Genomic DNA, 21854 nt, shown 5'->3' with positions numbered 1-21854 from the left:
GGGGATGCTAGGGTGAAGAGTTTAGGCCAACACTAAAGTGATTTATCTGCTAAGTACATGAATTAACATTTCATTGGTTGGAGGCAGGTATTTATTCTGATTTACCTTCGTAAAGTGGAAAAAACAAAAAGTATCTTCTTGATAAAGAACCTGGAAATTAATTAAACAGTAATAATAATAATAATAATAGTTAATAAAACAAAGTATAGTTTTTCAATTTAAAACAGAATTTTTTCTTTCATAAGGTCAAAGAAAGATGCCTTAACTGGGATTCCCAGCATGCTGCCCACTCTCTCAAATTTGGTTTGTACCCACTGATCTCCTACTTCCGTTTCTGGAAACTTCATCTATCATTTACCATCCTGCCTGTCAATCCCTAGGGTCCTCCTTTTCTTTTGTAATTGTTCAAACATCATTCATTCATACACACATGCAAACACACAAACACACTCCAGCTTTTCTCTGATTTCTTTTCTAACTCCTTAGGGAGGTTCGTCTTCTTTTTGCTAGCATATCATTCAGCAGCTCATTATTATGACCCTGCATTATGAATTAGTTTGCGAATTACATCATGTTGGTCAGTGGCTAGTAAGCCTCTTGGCAACTGCCCTCTCATTTTCTTCTTTACAATTCCCAGTTAAAATATAGGTACTGTTGGTCACACATCGGCTGGAGAAACTGGGATGTACAGACATCACACAGATCCAGGAGTCACAATTTGAATTCATGTCAGTCTCACCACAGAGGTCATGTTCTTAATCATGACACCGAAAGATGTTTTAGCAAGAACACTTTGTTCTTGAGCAAAACTTTGGGCCGTGGAACTTGTTTCCCTGCTTTTCCTGATTAAGCCAGTCTGAGAATTTTAGAAGGAAACTTCAAAGATTCATTTACCTTTTCCCTTTAGAGGCTGAAACCAAAAGTTGGCCATAAACATCAGTCCCTGAACCGTCCCTTTTTATCCCCACCATATGCCTCTAGATCTGCTTAGGGAATTTCAGTTATGCCCTCCCCCAGTTAAATACACCTCCAAATGTGTCTTCCCATCCTAAGAGCATTATAATCCTATTTATTTAAAAAAAATAATTTAAGGGTGGTGCTTGATCCTCATTTGAGCTGTAAGCACTTGGCTGTTACTTTTTGTCCTATCCTGAGAAACACCATGTAATGGTGGGGCAGGAGGAAAGAATTCAGGACTAGCATGCCACCACTATTCCATTATTAAATTGAACAATATTTCACTTTCAGCCTCTTCTATAAAGACTTGCTATGGCAGATTATAAGCTCTTTCTCACTTTATAGTTCTACAGATTTTTACATTTTAAGAAAGAAGCTCCGGCGCGGTGGCTCACGCCTGTAATCCCAGCACTTTGGGAGGCCGAGGTGGACAGATCACAAGGTCAGGAGTTCGAGACCAGCCTGGCCAATATGGGGAAACCCTGTCTCTACTAAAAATAAAAAAAAAAAATTAGCCGGGCGTGATGGTGGGCACCTGTAGTCCCAGCTACTTGGGAGGCTGAGGCAGGAGAATCACTTGAACCTGGGAGGCGGAGGTTGCAGTGAGCTGAGATCATGCCCCTGCAGTCCAGCCTGGGTGACAGAATGAGGATCTGTCTCAAAAAAAAAGAAGCATGAGAGGATTGAGGGATGAAGAGATGGAGCACGGGGGATTTTCAGGCACTGAAACTCTTTTGTATGACAATATATGGGTTGATACCTGGCATTATACATCTCTCAAAGCCCAAAGAACTATATAACACAAGACAGACTCCAGTGTAAACTACAAGCTTTAATTTATATAATTTCTTAATGTTTGCTCATCAAGTATGCAATAATAATGCAAGATATTAATTACAGAAAAAAATATGATGGGAGGTGTTGGGGCATGTGGACTTGTACTTTCTGCTCAATTTTTCTGTAAAAGTAAAACTGCTCTGAAAAATATAGTCTATTAATTAGTGTTAAAAGAGATAAGAAAAAATATATATGTCCAAATACTGGCAAAGAGAAATGAAAACTGAAGAGTGTCAGTGATGAAAAGTAAGGAAATTGGACTCTTCCAAGTCCTTAGTGATACTTCTACCTATTTCTGAAAATGTTTGAATTGTTATGTCCATCCATATACACAAGCCATATGGGCTATGAAGTGGATTGTATTCAAAGAGTCTTGTGAAGGTAAAAGAAAGTCGGACATCCCTCCTCCTCTCCCCAAAAAAACCAATTTGCCTATGCTTCGGTTTCTATAAAATGCACAGATGTGCTAGCATTTAGCTGCCTCCCTGGGGTGCACTAAAACTGTTGCTCTGAAGTGTTTCAAGACTAGAGCATCCCAGGGCCTGGCGCTGTGGTGGGACTCAAGGGAAGAGATAAAACACAAATTGAAAAGCAGTATTACTTGGGAAATTGTAGTTTAACACATGTGACAGCAGTCTCTCCCTGTCTACTAAGATTTCTTCCTTATTGCTTTCAGACAAAGTCTTCGTGATATCAGGGTCATATTATTCTCTTCCTTTTTCTACACCTTGATTCACTCTTCCATCTTCGGGTAAGAGGAAGAAAATTAGGTGAAGATCATATGTGTAGTTTTCGACAGAAATTTTGCGTGCACTTTAACTGTCAGCTCCAGCACTAGTGTTGTCTCCACTTTCCCACGTATAAAGCCTAGACATCCTTCAGAGCTGGGCTCAAATCCCCTTCCTAAACCTGCATTCTATTAGTGATCTTTACTCCTTCTTTCAGCTCCTCACTCAGCACTTCATCCCTGCAGTTTAGAACTTGACTACATGCTGCTGAATTATAAATTGTACATTCAATTTATAACTTGCCTAACTTGAAAGAAATCTACATGTACATATATATCTACCACTGTATCTATATGTCTATCTAATCTTAAAGATACAACTTTTTCCTTTTACATCTGTTGAATTTCCACTGCTAACCATCCTCAACTCCTGCCACTGTGTGTTCATTGAAGACAGCAATATTTGGAGGTTTTTAAAGAAAATATAAACCTATATGTCTTTCAGTCCTACCTATTTTTCTTCTTAATCAGGCCCTGAAACTTAAAATTTTCACTGTTACCCTCCCTAGGCCTAGTGGGTTGACTTTGACATTCTATTTGATATTTATGGGAGGAAATTTCTTTCAGTCATCGATTAAGACAGACGTTATTGTTTCATGCCGAGATTTTAGTAGAGCTAGGCATCCTGTTTAAATGAGGAACTTGAGTAGAGTTCTTCTTTAAGTAATGAAGAAGAACAGATAGCAAAGCTGTGGGACATAGGCTCAGTAATATCAGATCAGTTTGGAGAATCACCTACATTGTTAGCCCCTGAGAGAGAGCATGGCCCAGGGAAAGAAAAAAGTACCGGAGGTACAACTACCTGCCCCAACACATCAAAGCCTGTGGTAAGTTTCTTAACCTCCCTGAAACTGAACATCTGCAAAAGGACTTTGTTTCTGTATAACATGAACTTGTGAAGGCCATATAAGATAATACCCAAGAAAGAGGTTGCAAGCTGTAATATAAAGATATAGATTTGTTAGTGATAAACCAGAGGGGAACATGACAATATTTTCTGCCTTGGGAAGGTTAGAAGAGGGGCAGGGTGGGGAAGGTGAATTCTAGAAAAATAAGAGGTCACCAGTTACAAAGTTTCCCTACTTTAGTCCTTTAGGATTACCCTGTTTGAAGCCAAAGAATTTAAAATGGCTCAAACTAACGTTTGCGATTGTTCAGTTCAGTTCAGTTTCTTTGTTTCCTAGATAATGAACTTTTGTCACAGAGTAAATGCAAGCCCATGTCTCACTGCATGAAGAGTAACACACTCATCTGGGTGACTCTTGGCATATAAAGCCACCACCTGCAGAACTTGGACAAGTTGTTTGATGTCTCTGAGAATCTAGCTGAAGCATGTAAAATTCTTCAAATTATTAGACCTGACTTTGGGTAACTTTTTTTCTTTATTGATTTCCTTGGCCATAGTTTTTATTCTCATCATGGGAATCTTGCAGGCTATCTGGAAAAGACCTGTCAATGTACTTCTTTTCTCCCCAGTATTGATTCAATTTCTTTGCCTAATCTGAGCACTATATAACAGCAACAACATGTGTAGGTCACATGTATTTATGCTGAACTTTGCATTTATAAAGTTTTTGTTTTCTTTAAAAATGTTTGCATTTTTAAAGTTTTTGCACTACAGTGGCATTTTCTGCAAAGGAGAAGGAGAAATTTTCTCTTCTGAGGAAGATCTTTATTTGTTTTTGTTTTGAGATGGAGTCTCATCCTGTTGCCCAGGTTGGAGTGCAGTGGTGTGATCTCAGCTCACTGCAATCTCCTCTTCCCAGGTTCAAGTGATTCTCCTGCCTCAACCTCCCGAGTAGCTAGGACTATAGGCGTGTGCCACCACATCCAGCTAATTTTTTATTTTTAGTAGAGACAGGGTTTCACCATGTTGAGCATCCTGGTCTCAAATGAGGAAGACTTTTCTATTAACTCTTCTCAATCACTTTTATTTTCAAGGACTTATTCTCTCTTGTGAAATTCTGTAACAAACGACAGACTACTCAACCAAAGGCTTTTTTTTTTTTGTCACAAAACAGATCATTAGTCAATTACCTAGCATTTATTGAGGGCTTACCATGTGTTAGATAAAAGTTGTAAGAGGAGGCATAAGACCCTGCCCTATTCAGGGAGGCAAGCTGTATACTGCACAGAAACAAAAGGAAACTATGATGTCGGGCATACGAAACTCCAGCAATGACACAGGAAGTCCAGCAGACAGGTAATTGCACTGAATTTGGGAGCCCAGGGGAAGATGTGTGAAGCTGATTACATTAAGAATGTTCTGAGGAATATCAAGGTTTAAATCAGCAGAGCGGAGAACAGGAGAGTATTACAGGTGTGAAACCTGAAGGTCCAGAGGACACAGTAAGGCACAACAGATAACAAGGTCAGTGAGAAGACTGCCCCAGCTGGAATAGAGAATTGGTCTAGGGTGACGAACAAAGATGAGGCAGAAAAGCATTTTAGGATTAACTATGGAGCTCCTCTCCTGCCAACATGAAAAGCCAGGACTTGTGTTGTGAGCACTGAATGTGTGAACAGAGGTTGGAGTTTCAGAGTTTGAGCACGGAGCTAGAGATATCTGAATTTGACTCTTGGCATATAAAGCTACCACCTGCAGGACTTGGGCAAGTTGCTTGATTTCTTCAAGCCTTCACTTCTTCCAATATAAAATTGAATTAGTAAAATCTTATAGGTCTCTTATGAAAAGAGACTAGGTCTTTTAATGGAGTAGGTGCTAAAAATATATTTTGCTATTCTTTTTTGGTATTAGTTATGGTTTTTGTTTGTTTTTGGATAGCAATTGTGTTGATATGTAATTGTTTTTCTTCTGAGCTTCTTAGTAATTATCCAGGTCAGAATATGCCTTAGAATAATACATATTTTTGAACCTAGTCTTATCATCTTACTAGTTTTTGGAGCCTACAAATTTTCCCTGATTATGGGATCATGGGCTTTGAATTACAATTTATCTCTAGTCAGTGATTTTTAACATTTTGGGAGTTATAACCTTTTGGAATGGTTTGACATTGAGGAATTTTTAACAATTAAAAAAACATAAAACTTTACAATGAAAAATAGAAACATACAAATAATTTTATTTTTATACTTAAGGAGTATAGCTGACTCAATGGGTAGACGTAATTGGCAACTTTAAAAGAGTTTTCTCCTTCAACAAAAATATTCCCCTCATTGACCTCCTATGGTGCCTGAAATTCTACCATATGCTCTCCTCCTTAAGGAGCCATGGACCCAGCAGGAGAATATTGATACAATGATGGTTTTTACAGCATTATATTCCCTGGAAGGGGCAACACATTAACCAGTGAACACACCAAAAGGATGTCTATCATTTCATCTCTTATTGATCACACAGTCTATTACTCTTCTCTAATAGTATGGAGATCCTTCAAAAGTAGCCAATGACAAAATAGGAATAATAGCAAATACTTATAGTACTTGCTGCATGCCAGGTATGTACAATTCTCACAGCAGTTTTTTGAGGTAGGTGCTATCACTGCCCTCATTTTACAGTTGAGGAAACTGAAGTAGAGTGAGCTGCCTAACCTTCATATATTAAGTTACAGGTCTTGGATTTAAACTCAGGACCTCTGCCTCCAAGTCTGGTCCTTAACCATTATACAAACTGTCTTGTCCTTTGAAATGGTTACCTACTTCATTCTCCAAGACTAATGATGGTAACTTTTTGGGAGACATTAAGGAAATATAAGTAGATCTGATGTATCTATAGTGAATATCTTTCGTTGTATACATGTGTGTCCCCTCCGGGGATAGGAGTTGCCTGGGAAGGGCAGCTACACCTCTGAAAGGCTATGTAAGGCCAGCAAAGCCACAACCTAGATCAAGAGAAATAAAATAACCTGGCTTCTTATGCCTGGCCTTGTTCCAGGCATTAAAACTGAATGACTAAGGGCATTTTCTTGACATTTTCACACTATAAAACTAAGTTCTTTATAGCCATCCATAGCCAAAATATTAGCCAGTAATGAAAATTATGTGTTCATGTTGTACCACATATCCTGGGAACCTAATTTTATCAGCAGACACCTGCACAGAGATGCCAATACAGAAAATGAAAGTTAAACATCTCACATTACCCATAATTACCCAGCAGAGAAACTGATCCTGAAAAAGTGGAGCACAAAATAGGAGAGTTTTGATAGGGGAAAAGGCTGAAAAATGAGAATTAAGGGAACATGAGAGCCCAGAATATTTAAGGAGCAGAGCATATAATCAGAAAGAGCTCTAAAAGACAAGTAGAGAGGCTGTAAAATATGGAGGACTTGGCTAGTTCTTGGCATATGTTATCTAAAAGTTTAGCAACCCAAAGATTATATGCCAATAATTGTGGAAGAATACATTTTCAAAACGTGAGCAAAGCAATGTTTCCTGTTTCACACTCTTTTATAGTGTGATGTTGCTGCTCCTCCATCAAGTCTATTTCTTTACCCCTTTGAATCTGGGTGATCCAGGGCCAGTGACTATGTTGTCCAATATAATATGGCAGAAGTGACACTGTGAATCTAATGCCAACACTGAGAGCCCAACATTCATGTAGTAGCCATGTATAGGTGTTCCTGTAGATAGCCTCAGATCCCAGCTGATAGCGAGCATCAACTCCTAGCCCTGTTAGAGAGCTATCTTGGATATCTAGACCACTCCATCCTTCTGATGATACCAGCTCCAGCTATTGTCTGACTGCAACCACATGAGAGGCTTTCAGCAAGAACTGTCTAGGTAAGCTCAGTCAGCCCTCAGAACCATGAGGTTATTATTGGTTGGTGCAAAATTCATTGCAGTTTCAACTGCACCGTTAAAAGTAATGGCAGAAACAACAATTACTTTTGCACCAACCATATAATAAATTGTTATTTTAAGCTATTAACTTTTGGGGTGGCTTGGTACACAGAAATAGTTAACCAGAATCCTAATGCAATGAAAGAAGATAAAGCTTAATGCCATCTAAACGGTTCCCAACAGCTAAAAACTAAGCAGAAGAAATGTTAGGATATTAATACACCAGGATATAGCATTTATGAAGACACACTAGACATGCTTTCCCCTTGATGAGACCTTGAGTCTTCACTCTAGCAAGGACAATCATGTCTAATTCTTTAGAACAATAAAGGCTTACCTGCTTCATGAGATCTTTGGTTTTGTTCTTTTGAATCAATACACTACAGAATCAGGCTGGAGATCTTCAAAGCCTAACTGCAGCTTCTATGAGCTCTTCCTTCTCTAATTCCACCTGACTAGTCATGAAGTCCTATAAGGAGATACAGAATAACAGGCAGAGCATTTAAAAAATTTTTTTATTTCCGTAGGTTTTTGGGGAACAGGTGGTATTTGGTTACATGGGTAGGTTCTTTAATGATGATCTGTGAGATTTTGGTGCACCCATCATCTGAGCAGTATACACTGAACTCAATTTGTAGTCTTTTGCCTCTCACCCCCATCCCACCCTTTCCCCTTAGTGCCCAAAGTCCATTATATCATTCTTATGCCTTTGCATCTTCAACACTTAGCTCCCACTTTTGAGTAAGAACATACGGTGTTTGGTTTCCCATTCCTTAGATACTTCACTTAGAATAATAGTCTCCAGTTCCATCCAGGTTGCTGTGAATGCCATTAATTTGTTCCTTTTCATGGTTGAGTAGTATTCCATTGTATGTGCGTGTATATATATATATATATATATATATATATATATATATATATGTAACTGTATATATTATATATACATCTCATTGTGTGTGTGTATATATATATATACACACACACACATACACACACATCTAGTTGTCCATATATATAACGGGATATATATATATATATCTGGTTGTCCATATATATATATATATATATATATATATATATAGACACACACGATGGAATACTACCTATATACACACACCAAAATTTCTTTATCCACTCGTTGACGGATGGGCACTTGGGCTGGTTCTATATTTTTACAATTGCAAATTGCGCTGCTGTAAACATGCGTGCGCAATTATCTTTTTTGTATAATGACTTCTTTTCCTCTGGGTAGATACCCATTAGTTAGATTGCTGGATCAAATGGTAGTTCTACTTTTAATTTTTTAAGGAATCTCCACAGTGTTTTCCACAATGGTTGTACTAGTTTACATTCCCACCAGCAGTGTATAAGTGTTCCTTTTTCATTGCATCCACACCAACATCTATTATTTTTGATTTTTTGAATATGCATTGTTGCAGGACTAAGGTGGTATTGCATTGTGGTTTTCATTTGCATTTCCCTGATCATTAGTGATGTTGAGCATTTTTTCATATGTTTGTTGGCCATTAGTGTATCTTTTTTGAGAGTTGTCTATTCATGTCCTTAGCCTGCTTTTTTATGGCATTGTTTTTATGTTGCTAATTTGTTTGAGTTTTTTTGTAGATTCTGGATATTAGTCCTTTGTCAGATGTACAGATTTTGAAGGTTTTCTCCCACTCTGTGGGTTGTCTGTTTACTCTGCTGACTGTTCCTTTTGCTGTCCAGAAGCTCTTCAGTTTAATTAAGTCCCACATATTTACCTTTGTTTTTGTTGTATTTGCTTTTGGAGAGAACCTAGAAATAAATCCAAATACTTACAGCCAACTAATCTTCAACAAAGCAAACACGAACATAATGTAGGGAACAGACACCCTTTTCAACAAATGGTGCTGGGATAATTGGCAAGCCACAGTGTAGCAGAATGAAACTGGATCCTTATCTCTCACCTTATACAAAAATCAACTCAAGATGGATCAAGGACTCAAATCTAAGACCTGAAATTGTAAAAATTCTAGAAGATAACAGGCAGAACATTTGAAACTAAACAAAGGGGCTGAGAATTCCACTTCCATCTTTCATTCTTCAACTACTGGTGATCATTTTTTATGAAGACAATAAAAAATTAATACAGTATTGACCAAAAGGAGATCCACTGAGCCAGGGAATGATCTAGTGAGCTACTCTATTTTTATCTTCATCTCCTAAATTTCTGTCAAATATTCTTCAGGTGTGCCATAAAAAATCAAATTAGGAACATGTGAAATATAGCAGGCAGTTGCTATTATACTTGGGTCTGTGGTTATTAGCCGTGAAGTTGTTCTTCTTCTATTTCCTTCCCATCCTCCTTTTGTTTTGATGTGGCTACTTGCAGATTGTTATCTGTTTTCTCATCTCCCAGATGCCTTCTAAACATGTCTGATAATTTCCCTTGTTTAGTTCAATTTATATGTATTTGATCTTTTTCTTCTTTGATTAAAAGTCAGCAGCAATTCAGTTAGTAGCACAAACATTAGCAGTACCAGTAAGCTGAGGTCAAAAGCACATGTGTTTCATTTTTCAGCTTCCTAAACTCCCATTCCTATACATTATTTTGGAGAAGATTATACTGTAATTCTAATGCTACCTTTCTTGTTAAAATAAAGGCAAAAATATGTCCCATGAGGAGCAATAATGAATCTTTCTGGAACTCATCTATTAATGGAATTCAAAGCATTCCTGGACACCAGATCCCAAGGTGGCAAAATAAATCATATCATTTAGATATGTAAGGGCCTTTAGAAATGCTCTACTTGTGTATATGCTGTTTGGAAAGTCTACTGTGGAGTGGTCTAGAGGATTAGAATTCCTGAATAGAGCTTTATTTAGGCATGATGATTCAAAGTGCAGATGGGCAGTGACGATCAAAGATCTAGAGGGAGGGCTCTGGTGATAGACCAAGCCTGGAATAAAGACAGTTCAGGAGGGCAGGCAGGTTCCAGCTGAACCCTTTAACAGCAGCAGAATTGATAGCCCCCTGCTGTCTCATTGCTGTGGTGAAGATATGGACCTATGCTCATGTCCTCACAAAAAAGGTTGTCCTTTTTTTAAAAAGCTGATTCAAAAAAAAAAAAAAAAAACCTACTTTTTTTTTCCACACCCAACATCATTCAGGGTCTGTGTCCAACAAGAAGAGCATCTGCTCCATGCAGCTGAGAGGGCACATGGGGTGTTTCTATCTTGGCATAATTTGCCAGATCTGAGTTCCTAATGTCTTCATGGGACCTGATTTTTTTTTTTTTTATAAATAAGCTGCTTCAAAAACAAAAATAGAACCCACAAAACAGAAGATAAATTTATAAAATCAATCCAGGTCAGTAGCTCCAATACTAAATCTAGACATTAGATTGCCTGACTGCCAATGAACTGTTTTTCCCACTGCACATTTTAATTTTTGTTTGGTATGTGCCCATGTGCACATGTGTGGGTACGTGTGTTACTGTGCATATGTGTGTGTGTTACTGTGCATATGTATGTCTGGGCCATTATGATGTTTTTCTTTCACTTATACATTTACTTTTTATTTTTATTCATATGTTCAAGAAAAGTTTGTAGAGTACTATGTTCCATGCACTATTTTACACTCTGGGATATCAAATTGAATGACATAAATCTCATCTGTCCTTACAACCTGATCAGAGAGGCAAATAAATACAAACAATGGAGGGTAAGGGCTGTAAGAGAAGCATGGGTCATATGCTACTGGAGCACTTGGTGGGCGGGTGCCTTATCTTTCTGGAAAACTCAGGAAGTCTTCTCAGAGGAGTTGCTATTGAAAAAACAATTGCAGGCTCCATGCAAGCTAGAACTCTGGTTCTGTCGCTTGCTATGAGAACTTGAAGAAGCCTCTGACCTCTCGATGCTTCACTTTCCTCATCTGGCAATACTGTCTGGTAATAATAATGGTATCTTCCTCAAAAGATTGTACAACAGATTAATGAAGACTGCTCAGGTCAAGTGTTTAGAAAAGTACATGACTCCATACATGCTAGTTATTTTTATGGCTAATGTTAAGGGTTTGATTGGAAAAGAGACAGGGAATGAAAATATAAGTTAGGCAGAAAAAGAGCATAAACTTTGTAGACCATGATATGAAGTTTCAATGTTATTTTTATCCAAAAGTATGCCATGAAGAAGATCTTAAGCAGGATACTGGCCTGATTAAACATCCATCTATAATAAGATTCCTTGATGGTTATATGTACATAGGAAGAACAATTATGAGAGTCCTGCAGTAATGCAAATGAGATGAGTACTTGAACTAGAGACAGGGGAAGTGAAGGAGGAGTGTGAATAGAGAATATTATAAAGACATAACTTAGAGTATTTGGAGATAATAGATTGCGTAACAAATAGCATAAGACAATGGTATATTTTGCTTGCATAACTAGGTAGACAGCGAGGATATTCACTGACATAAGAAATTCAGGAAAACAGCAAGTTGAAAACAATATAGTAAGTTGGTTTTTAGATACGATGACATTGAGGCACTTACGGGCTCTCATAGCAGGTAGCTCTAAACAGATCTCAAGAGTCGAATTCTTATTCAACATGCACTTGGAAATAATAGAAATAGCAATCCTGAATTTAAGTATACTTAATCCATAAAATGTTTGAAATAATAAAATCAAAATTTACTGGTGATTACTATAGGCCAAGACATTTACTGATATATTTGTATGAATAATCCCACAAGTTACACAAAACAACCCCTGAGACAGGTACTATATGGTTCCCATTCCACATATTAGGGAAATGTTTTTAAAAGCTTAAGTAATTGCCCAAAGTCACTGTCTTAGTCCATTTTCTGTTGCTTATAACCAAATACCTGAAACTGGGTAAATTGTAAAGATAATAACTTTATTTCTTACAACTATGAAGGCTAAGAAGCCCAAGGTTGAGGAGTTGCATCTGGTGAGAGCCTTCTTGCTGATGGGGACTCTGAAGAGTCCTGAGGTGGTGCAGGGCATCACATGGCAAGAGAGCTGAGTGTGCTAACATGCTGTCCTCAGGTCATTTTTTCTCTTCTTATAAAGCTACCAATTTCCGTCCCGTGATAACTCACTAATCCATTTACCCATTAGTCTTTAGAAAAAGCCCTCATGACTCAATCACCTCTTAAAGGCCCCACCTTTTAATACTGCCACATAGGATTAAGCTTCAACATGAATTTTGGTGGGGACATTCAAACTATAGAAGTCACATAGATAATGAGTAGAAAATGGAAATGCATCAATTACTATTAGGTTCCTGTGAGGGACAGATCATTCAACATACTAGTAAATTAAATAAAGGTAATTTATTTCCTTTTTGTTTCAAATAAGTCTAGAGGGACCCAAGTTCACTCTAATTTCTTTTTCTGAAATATTTAGCATGTGGTTTTCTTCTCAGAATCCATAATGTCTGTATTTCAACTATCAGAAAAGATGAAAAAAGGAACTAGAGTATGCCTAGTATTAAAGTATACTTAAAATATACTTTATTTTAAGTATATTTCCTAGTATTTGAACACCATGATTCTGTTGACATCCCATTGTCAATACTTAGTTATAGGACAGGCCTAGCTGCAAGGGAGGCTGGGAAATGCAGTACTTTTCCCTTGGGAAGCTAGTATCCAGTTAAAAATTGGGGGTTCTATTACTAAGTAGGTAGTGGAAAATACATCCTGGGGACTGACAGTTTCTACTAGAGGGATTCACTAGAAAAGAAAAAAAAGTAAAGTTTAAAAAATCTTTAAAGACATCAGTTAAATTCCTGGAGTACCACAGCCTTGAATGAAGCACCTGGAGAAAATGAGTCCAAGGAGCACAATAGTTAGAATAGGTCAGAGACATTCATCATTACCATCATAAGAATGCTTCAATTGGGTAGATATCTAGGCCAAACAGTAGACAAAGTACTTCAAAAAATAATACTCCTGGTAGAAACTGGTGCACATAATATGGACAACTCTGTTGGAAAGAAGCATAAAAAAATCGGGAGAGAAGTTTTAACCAGGTAAACATAAAGAATCAATTCGGTGATACTCACACTTTAAGGATAGAGTAATAACAAGCCAAGGTAATGAAAGATGATTACTTCCTTACCAAATGTTTGTTCAAATTACAAAGGGTTCACCTCATGTTTTCTGTAAATAGTGAACTTCCCTGATGCACCTAAACTAGAATTCAGTTTAAAGACATTAAATTTACAGGCAATTCCAGAAACACCTTATGAGGAAAGTTAGATGTACTTGAGGTTCCTAAACCTTAGGCATAGAAAGAAATGGAATTACTGCACAGAAAATCATTGCACATAAATATTTAGATTTGAGAAGGTGGAATGAGTGTTTACTTTCGAAGGGAGTTCTTTTGGGGAGACAGGTTTTTTGTTGTTGTTTGTCTGTTTGAGACAGAGTCTGACTGTTGCCCAGGCTGGAGTACAGTGGTGGGATCTTGGCTCACTGCAACCTCTGCCTCTTGGGTTCAAGCAATTCTCGTGCCTCAGCCTCCCAAGTAGCTGGGACTACAGGTGCGCACCACCATACCTGGCTAATTTTTTGTATTTTTAGTAGAGACAGGGATTCACTATTTTGGCTAGGATAGTCTTGAACTCCTAACCTCAGGTGGTCTGCCCACCTTGGCCTCCCAAAGTGCTGGGATTACAGGCGTGAGCCACTGCTCCCAGCCTGGGTAGACAGGTTTTTGTTGTTGTTGTTGTTGTTGATTTGTTTTGTTTTGTTTTGTTTTGTTTTTTGTGAGATGGAGTCTCTCTCTGTCGTCCAGGCTGGAGTGCAGTGGTCTGATCTCAGCTCACTGCAAACTCTGCCTCCCAGGTTCACGCCATTCTCCTGCCTCAGCCTCCCGAGTAGCTGGGACTACAGGTGCCTGCCACCATGCCCGGCTAATTTTTGGTATTTTTAGTAGAGACGGGGTTTCACCGTGTTAGCCAAGTTGGTCTTGATCTCCTGATCTCATGATCTGCCTGCCTCGCCTCCCAAAGTTTGGGGATTACAGGTGTGAGCCACCACGCCGGGCCAAGACAGGTTTTTATATAAGACACTAAATAGCATATGTCAAGGGCTCCTAAACATAATCTCCAGATAAAAATCTCCTGAATGTTTTTATTAGTCAGGGTTCTGCAGAGAAACAGAACCAACACGATATATAAATTTATAGTTTATATAGACATCTATATATAAATATATAGGTATAGGCATGGAGATATAAATATGTAGATATAGATGTAGATATATAGATACATGTAGTAAAATATTTTTATAAGGTATTGCCACATGTGATAATGGAGGCTGAAAAATCCCAAGATCTTTCATCTACAAACTGGATACCCAGGAAAGTCAATGGTGTAGTTCAAAGGCCTGAGAACTAGAGGACCAATGGTGTAGGTTTCATTCTGTGTTCAAAGGCCTGAGAACCAGGAGCACTGAGGGCAAAAATTTGACATCCCATTTGGCATAGTGAGTCAGAATTAATAAACTCTCCTCTTTATTTTTGCTTTATTTAGGCCCTCAATAGATTGTATAATGCCCACTCACATTGGGAAGGTTTATCTACTTTACTCATCCCACCAATTCCATTGCTAATCTTTTCCAGAAACATCTACATGAATATACCTAAAAGTGATGTTTAATCAGCTCTCTGGGCATCATGACCCAGTCAAGTTCACACACAAAATTAACCATTATAATGCTCTTGTTCTATGCTGAGGCTATTTCTCATGAGTCTTTATATAATACTGAAAAATAGTTTGGGAATTATGTCAATGACTTATAAATAACTTCATAGACCTGAGATATATTAGAAAAAAAATAGAAAACCATACCATCCATATGCATATTTACAAACTATTCACCCAGAAATGTTTAAAGGTACAATCTGAAGGCCAACCACAGGCTTTGAGTCCTTGGGATGCATACCCCTGCCCTTGCCTTTATAAGTCAAACATGGTGCAGCATCTCCCCATTGCATTCTGCCCCAAAGGTGAGTTAGTCTCTTTCTAGATCTGGTTCTGTGATTAAAATGTTTGCTGATTCTAGGCACATTCTAGGCAAAGAAGGTTCTTTTACCACCTTCTCTCCCAAACCCCATCCTTCGTGTCTGCCTTTTTTAGCTTAGTGAAGCCTGAAATTTCACCCTTAGAAAATTATTGCTTTAGCTTAAATTCAATAACACATTTTCACCTCTGTTATATAAATGTTTCTAGTAGGAGAAAACAGAAATGTTGCCCCTTATTTATATTTCAAGCCCCAAAGAAAGAACTCACACAACTGAGGTTTGTGAATAAAGCATATAAAAATGCAAATTTTTGGTACATTTCTACTTCCCTGTTTCCATACTGTACTTGATACTTAGAAAATAAACCCCAACTTGTTTAAGAACCTCCTCAAAAGAGCTTCCTCTGGGAAATTTTTAGCAGGGAAATGAAATATTTTTTCTAAATAGCCTTTTCCATTTTTTCATCTGAGGTAATAATGGAAGTTAAATCTTTGGCTTCAAACTATCCTCACTATTTCTGGATAGGGCTGGTGCTTTTCTGCCCTCTTATCTTTACTAATGCTATTTTCTACATGAATAGCCCTCAATGCTTTTTTTCTGTCTTTCATGATTCAAATATACTTTTAGTGAAGTAAACCATACAAAATGTCATATGTATACATCTCCAAACATTTTTACTAAATAAGCACACTTTTGCAACCACCTTCTGGATCAATAAACAGATCATTAAAGTACCCTAGAAACCTCTCTGGTGCCCTTGTAGAACACTTCTCTTCTGTGTCTGGGTAATGCAAATTAAACTGACAAAAGACATTAACAGAATTTCTTTTTAAGTTTATTTACATGTGTAATTTGCATACACATGAGGAAACTGAGTGATGAGTGCTGTGGTCTGAATGTTGGTGTTCCCCAAAAATTTATGTGTTGGATCTTAATACCCAAAATGATAGCATTAATAGTTGGGGCTTTTTGAGAAGTGATTAAGTCATTAGAACTCCGCCCTCATGAGTAGGATTAGTGCCCTTAAAAAAGAGGTTGAAGGGAGCTTCCTTGCCTCTTCTGTAATGAGAAGACACACAAACGGTGCCATCTGTAAGAAATAGACCCTCACCAGACACCGAATCTGCTGGCTCCTTGATCTTAAATTTCACAGCCTCCAGAACTGTAAGCAATAAATGCATTTTTATTGTTTATAAATCTAGGGTATTTTGTTATTGCAGCTTGAATATATTAACACAAGGAGTAACTCATAAGATAATTAGACTTTGGAGCTTAAATATCTTAACATAGGGTAATAAATTATTAAAAAGTGGCGAAACAAAGAAAAAAGTGGTTTGGCTTCTAGGGATGATAAATTGTAGGAAAGTGACTTGGGGATGCATGGAAAATATGGTTTATTTAGTACAATTTTTATGCCAATTAGTTGTTCTCTTTTTTATACAGGAGAAGGAAACACCTCTATGAATGTAAAAAGGGAAATTTATGCCCTGATTTTAGGCAGAAAAGAAGAGGTCAGAGTGTTCTTCCTGTGTTTGCTGTTTTTCAATTACCTTAAGCTGAAAATAAGTTTTCTGCTAACTTGGCATATTCTGATCCCATTTCCCACTTTCCACTTACTAGAACCAACCCAGCTGCCTCCCACTAATGGGCAATCATTAGCTTGACATCTATCACCATTGTTTTTTTTTAAACTCCCTTTGAAATATATATTAAATGAAAAAATAAAATATATATGCTTTTGTGCTTGCAATATTCTCCGAATGTTGCATTATATTGTCTGTGATGTTCATCCAGGTTAATAGTTGTAGATTATATATTTTCATGACTTTATAGTGGTTTATTTTATAAAAATGCCACAACCTGTTTATCAAATCTACACTTAATAAATATTAGATGGTTTCCAGTTTGGGAATAACAGAAATGGTGCTACTGTAATCAAAACAGGTCCATTGCCCAGTGTACATGGTGAGTTAATACACCGAGACACTGGGTTGCAACAGAGAAAGAGGTTTACCTTTAGGACTGCTGAACAAAGAAACAGAAGGACACCTCAAATCCATCTCTCTGAGGAGTTTGGGGCTAAAGTTTTTAAGGATATTGGAGTGGACTGAAGTGTGGAGATCCTTGATTAATTAAAGAATGCAGGGTGAAGTCATGGGACAAGGAAATTTTCTCATGCTTATTCAATTCCTTGGTGGGGATCTTTAAACTAGTTGGCATTAGCATTTCCACTGAAATGCAGAATGTGCTTAAGCAATTCTTAAATGAAAATCTTATAATCCTAATTTCATTGTCTAAAAGGACAATGGGGATGCAAATGGTCAGTATCTAGTGTTGTATGGTTTTCAGTTACAAGGAAATGGGTCAAAGTGCAACCTTGATTAATGCTTAATTAAAACTATTTATGTCCAGAACTCTTGCGAACCCAGTGAGGATAGCCTCACTGCTATGAATATTATTAAACGCTATTTGGTAAATATGCATGTATTTTTGTTGGATATATAACCAGGAGAGAACTTGTTGAGTAATATGTATGTGTATAATATAATATGTTCTAGCAGATATGACCACACAGGTGCAATAAATAAGAGTTCTGAATGTTCCATTCACCCATAAACATTTGATTTTTTTTATTTTATCCATTCTAGTGTGTAGTGTTACTGCAATATATTATTAATTTGCCATTTTTAATGACCAAAGATGATGAATGTTTTTTCATAGTTTTGTTGACTATTTGGAAAACCATTTTTTGTAAAGTTTTACTCTTTGCTCATTTTACTGTTCACCTGTTGGCATTTTGGTTACAGTTTGGAGAGTTCTTTGTATATTATGATTCTTTTATGGGTATGTGTATTACAAATATCTTTTCTCACTTTGTGGTTTGAATTTCTAAATCTTAACAACGTATATTGATTTAATGAAGGGTTTAAAGTAGTCCGACTTATCATCTTTCTTATGATTAGTGTGTTTTCTTTCCAGTTTATAAAATATTTGCATATAGCCTGAAGGCCATATTTTTTCTCTTTGTTTATTGCTCTTTAGAAGTTTCCACTTTTTAAAAAAAAATGGCGGCTTTACTGAAATATAATTCACATACCATAAAATCTACCCATTTAATAGTTTGAGGTACAGTTAATTTTTTTTTTTTTTACTTACAGTTAAAGGTACAACTTGCTAGTTTTTAGTGTATTTACAGATAGAAAAAATCATTATCACAGTCAATTTTAGAACATTTTCATCATCTCCAAAAGAAACCCCATAGCCTTTAGCTATCATTCTCCTAACTCTCTGCACCTCCAAGCCCTAAGTAACCACTAAGTTACTGTCTGCTTCTATACGTTTGCATATTCGAGACATTTATTACAAATGGGCCTATATAACATGTAATTCCTTGTTTCTCTCACTCAACATAATATTGTCAAAATTCATCTATGTTTTATAGCATGTAACAAGATTTCATTTCTTTATATGGATGAATAATATTCAATATTATAAATACACTTGGCCATTTAAAAAAGATAGATTTGAACTGCACAGGTCTATTTATGCATGAATTTTCTTCTGCCTCTGCCACTCTTGATATAACAAGACCAACCCTTCCTCTTCTTTCTTGTCTTTAGGTTACTCAATGTGAAGATGACAACAAGGGTGAAGACTTTAATGATGATCCACTTCCACTTAAAAAATAATAAATATATTTTCTCCTCCTTATGATTTTTAACATTTTATTTTCTCTAATTTGCTGTAAGAATATAGTGTATAATACATATAACATGAAAAAATATGTTAATCAACTGTTTATGTTATCAGTAAGGTTGGCAGTACACTACTAGAAGTTAGGATTTTGGGGAGTCAAAATTTACATGTGAATTTTTGACTGCCTGGGGGGGTCAGACCCTATAATCCCCAAGTTCAAGAATCAACTGTGTACCTCCTTTTCTCCATCCATTCATCATCTGATGGACATGTAGAAGTTTTGCTTTTTTATCTTACCTTTTATTATATATTTATATTTACCATCTCTCTAAAATTGACTTATGTGTGCTTATGAATTTAAGATTCATTTTTCCTTTATGAATATTAAATTGACACAGACTTATTTAAAAAGCCATCTTTTTCCCACTGTATTAGAGTGTTTATAAATTATGCATTAGGTCTCATATATACGTGAGTTTCTGACCTTTCTATTTTGTTTTAGTTGCATATCTGATTAACCTTGTAACAAGTCCAGAAAATTTTAATTAGAATAGGGTGATAATTATAATCTAAGTTATCCAAATATTTTAGCTTTTGTTTCTTCTTAAGAATGCCTAGATTGTACTTGGCCCTTGCATTTCCATAAACTTATTTTTATTGAGCTTGTCAATTTCTTTTGAAAAATGACTGAGATTTTTATTGGATTTACAATGGATATATAGGTCACTTCATGGAGAAATATCTTTACATTGAATCTTCTATTCCATGATGTTTACAATGTACATTCCACTCCATTTATTTAGACCATCTTAATATTTTCAATAATTTGTAGTTTCCTTTGAAGAAATATTGTACATTTTTGAGAGATATTCAATATTTCAACGTTTTCTTGAAGATAGTGTAAATGGCTTGTTTTTTCTGTTTCTATATCTTTTTACTTGGGGTACATCTGAATTTGCCGGGAATTGTGACTACTCATTTTTAGATTTTCACTCCTAGTATAACTGAATGTCTAATCTCCATTGTATTAGTCCATTTTCATACTGCTATAAAGAAATACTTGAGACTGGGTAATTTATAAAGAAAAAGAGGTTTGGCCGGGTGCAGTGGCTCATACCTGTAATCCCAGCACTTTGGGAGGCCGAGGTAGGTGGATCACCTGAGGTTAGGTGTTCAAGACCAGCCTGGCCAATATGGCAAAACCCTGTCTCCACTAAAAATACAAAAACTAGCTGGGTGTGGTTGTGCATCCCTGTAGTCTCAGCTACTTGGGAGGCTGAGGCAGGAGAAATGCTTGAACCTGGGAGATGGAGGTGGCAGTGAGCCAAGATCATACCACTGCACTCCAGCCTGGGTGACAGAGCGATACCCTGTCCACCAAAAAAGTAAAAAAAAAAAAAAAAAAGGTTGGGCACGGTGGCTCACACCTGTAATCCCAACATTTTGGGTAGCCGAGGTGGGCAGATCACCTGAGGTCGGCAATTCGAGACCAGCCTGACCAAGGTGGAGAAACCCCATCTCCACTAAAAATACAAAATTAGCCGGGTGTGGTGGTGCATGCCTGTAATCCCAGCTGCTCGGGAGGCTGAAGCAGGAGACTTGCTTGAACCTGGGAGGCAGAGGCTGCAGTGAGCCAACATCATGCCATTGCACTCCAGCCTGGGCAACAAGAGTGAAACTCTGTCTCAAAAACAAAAAAAAAAAAAAGAAAGAAAGAAAGAAAGAAAAGAAAAAAGAAAGGAAGGTTTAATGGCCTCACAGTTCTACATGGCTGGGAAGCCTCACAATCATGGCAGAGGTGAAGGATGAGCAAAGGCATGTCTTACATGGTGGCAGGTGAGAGAGCGTGTGCAGGGGAATGGCTCTTTATAAAAACATAAGATCTTGTGAGCTTTATTCAGTATCATGAGAACAGCACAAGAAAAACCCACCCTCATGATTCAATTACCTTCCACCAAATCCCTCCCAGGACATGTGAGGATTATGGGAGCTACAATTCAAGATGCGATTTGGGTGGGGACACAGCCATACCATATCATCCATGAAACCTTAAATTCTTCTGTAAGCCAATATCTTCCATCTCTCTATAAATTCCCCCCCAATTAATTTGTCACCTTCAAATTTTTTACTACCTTTGGCATATCCTTCATTTCCAAGTATTATTTAGTAGTGTATCTAATAAAGTACAGTTTTCTTTAGTATCTTATTCATCATATAGTCCATGTAGCACAATTTCCTACCTAGAAAGCTTCAATAGAGCTTTGTTAATTGTCTAGAGAAGATAAATGAGAAGCTGAAAATAAAGAGATAGACTTGGCAATCGATGAAACTGGTACAATAATTTGTGTGTGTGTACTTCCTTCTCCTCTCTCCATTCTTCACTCTCTCACCCTGCCTGCCAGATAAACAATACTCATGAAAAGTCACTCTTCTCACCTGAACCCTTTAGCAAGGCCCCTTGTTCCATTTAGGGACTGATGTCTTGTAACAAACATCACTGTCTGCTGAGGGGAAGGATTTCTCCAAACTCTGATGGAGAACTGGTTGGGCAGACCACATTCACTTTGTGAGAAAGTTATGTATGATGTGGAGGCTCAGTTTCTTCATCTGGAAAATGTAAAGCAGTTATAAAATGTACTGAATTGACTTAAGTTCCTTCATGTTACTCATAAAAATGCATGGTAAATATTTTTAACCTAAGGTACTAAATGCTTATATTATCATTACTAAATTAGTATTAGATG

The 21854-nt window shown here is 37.1% G+C and overlaps 1 long non-coding RNA gene across 1 annotated transcript in view; it reads left to right on the top strand.

The window, feature by feature from the left end:
- The window catches only part of LOC105372088 (uncharacterized), a 122698-nt gene extending 103573 nt beyond the window's left edge, over window positions 1-19125 (top strand). The window contains exon 3 of the long non-coding RNA XR_935415.3: window positions 19035-19125. This is a non-coding gene — a long non-coding RNA (uncharacterized LOC105372088). The remainder of the gene's footprint in view (window positions 1-19034) is intronic.
- Window positions 19126-21854: the final 2729 nt, after the last annotated feature.

Source organism: Homo sapiens, chromosome 18 (assembly GCF_000001405.40).
Source record: "Homo sapiens chromosome 18, GRCh38.p14 Primary Assembly".
In the NCBI taxonomy this organism is placed as follows: Eukaryota; Metazoa; Chordata; class Mammalia; order Primates; family Hominidae; genus Homo; species Homo sapiens.
The sequence above is the reverse complement of the archived record's forward strand: the minus strand, read 5'-3'. Positions and strand labels throughout refer to the sequence as shown.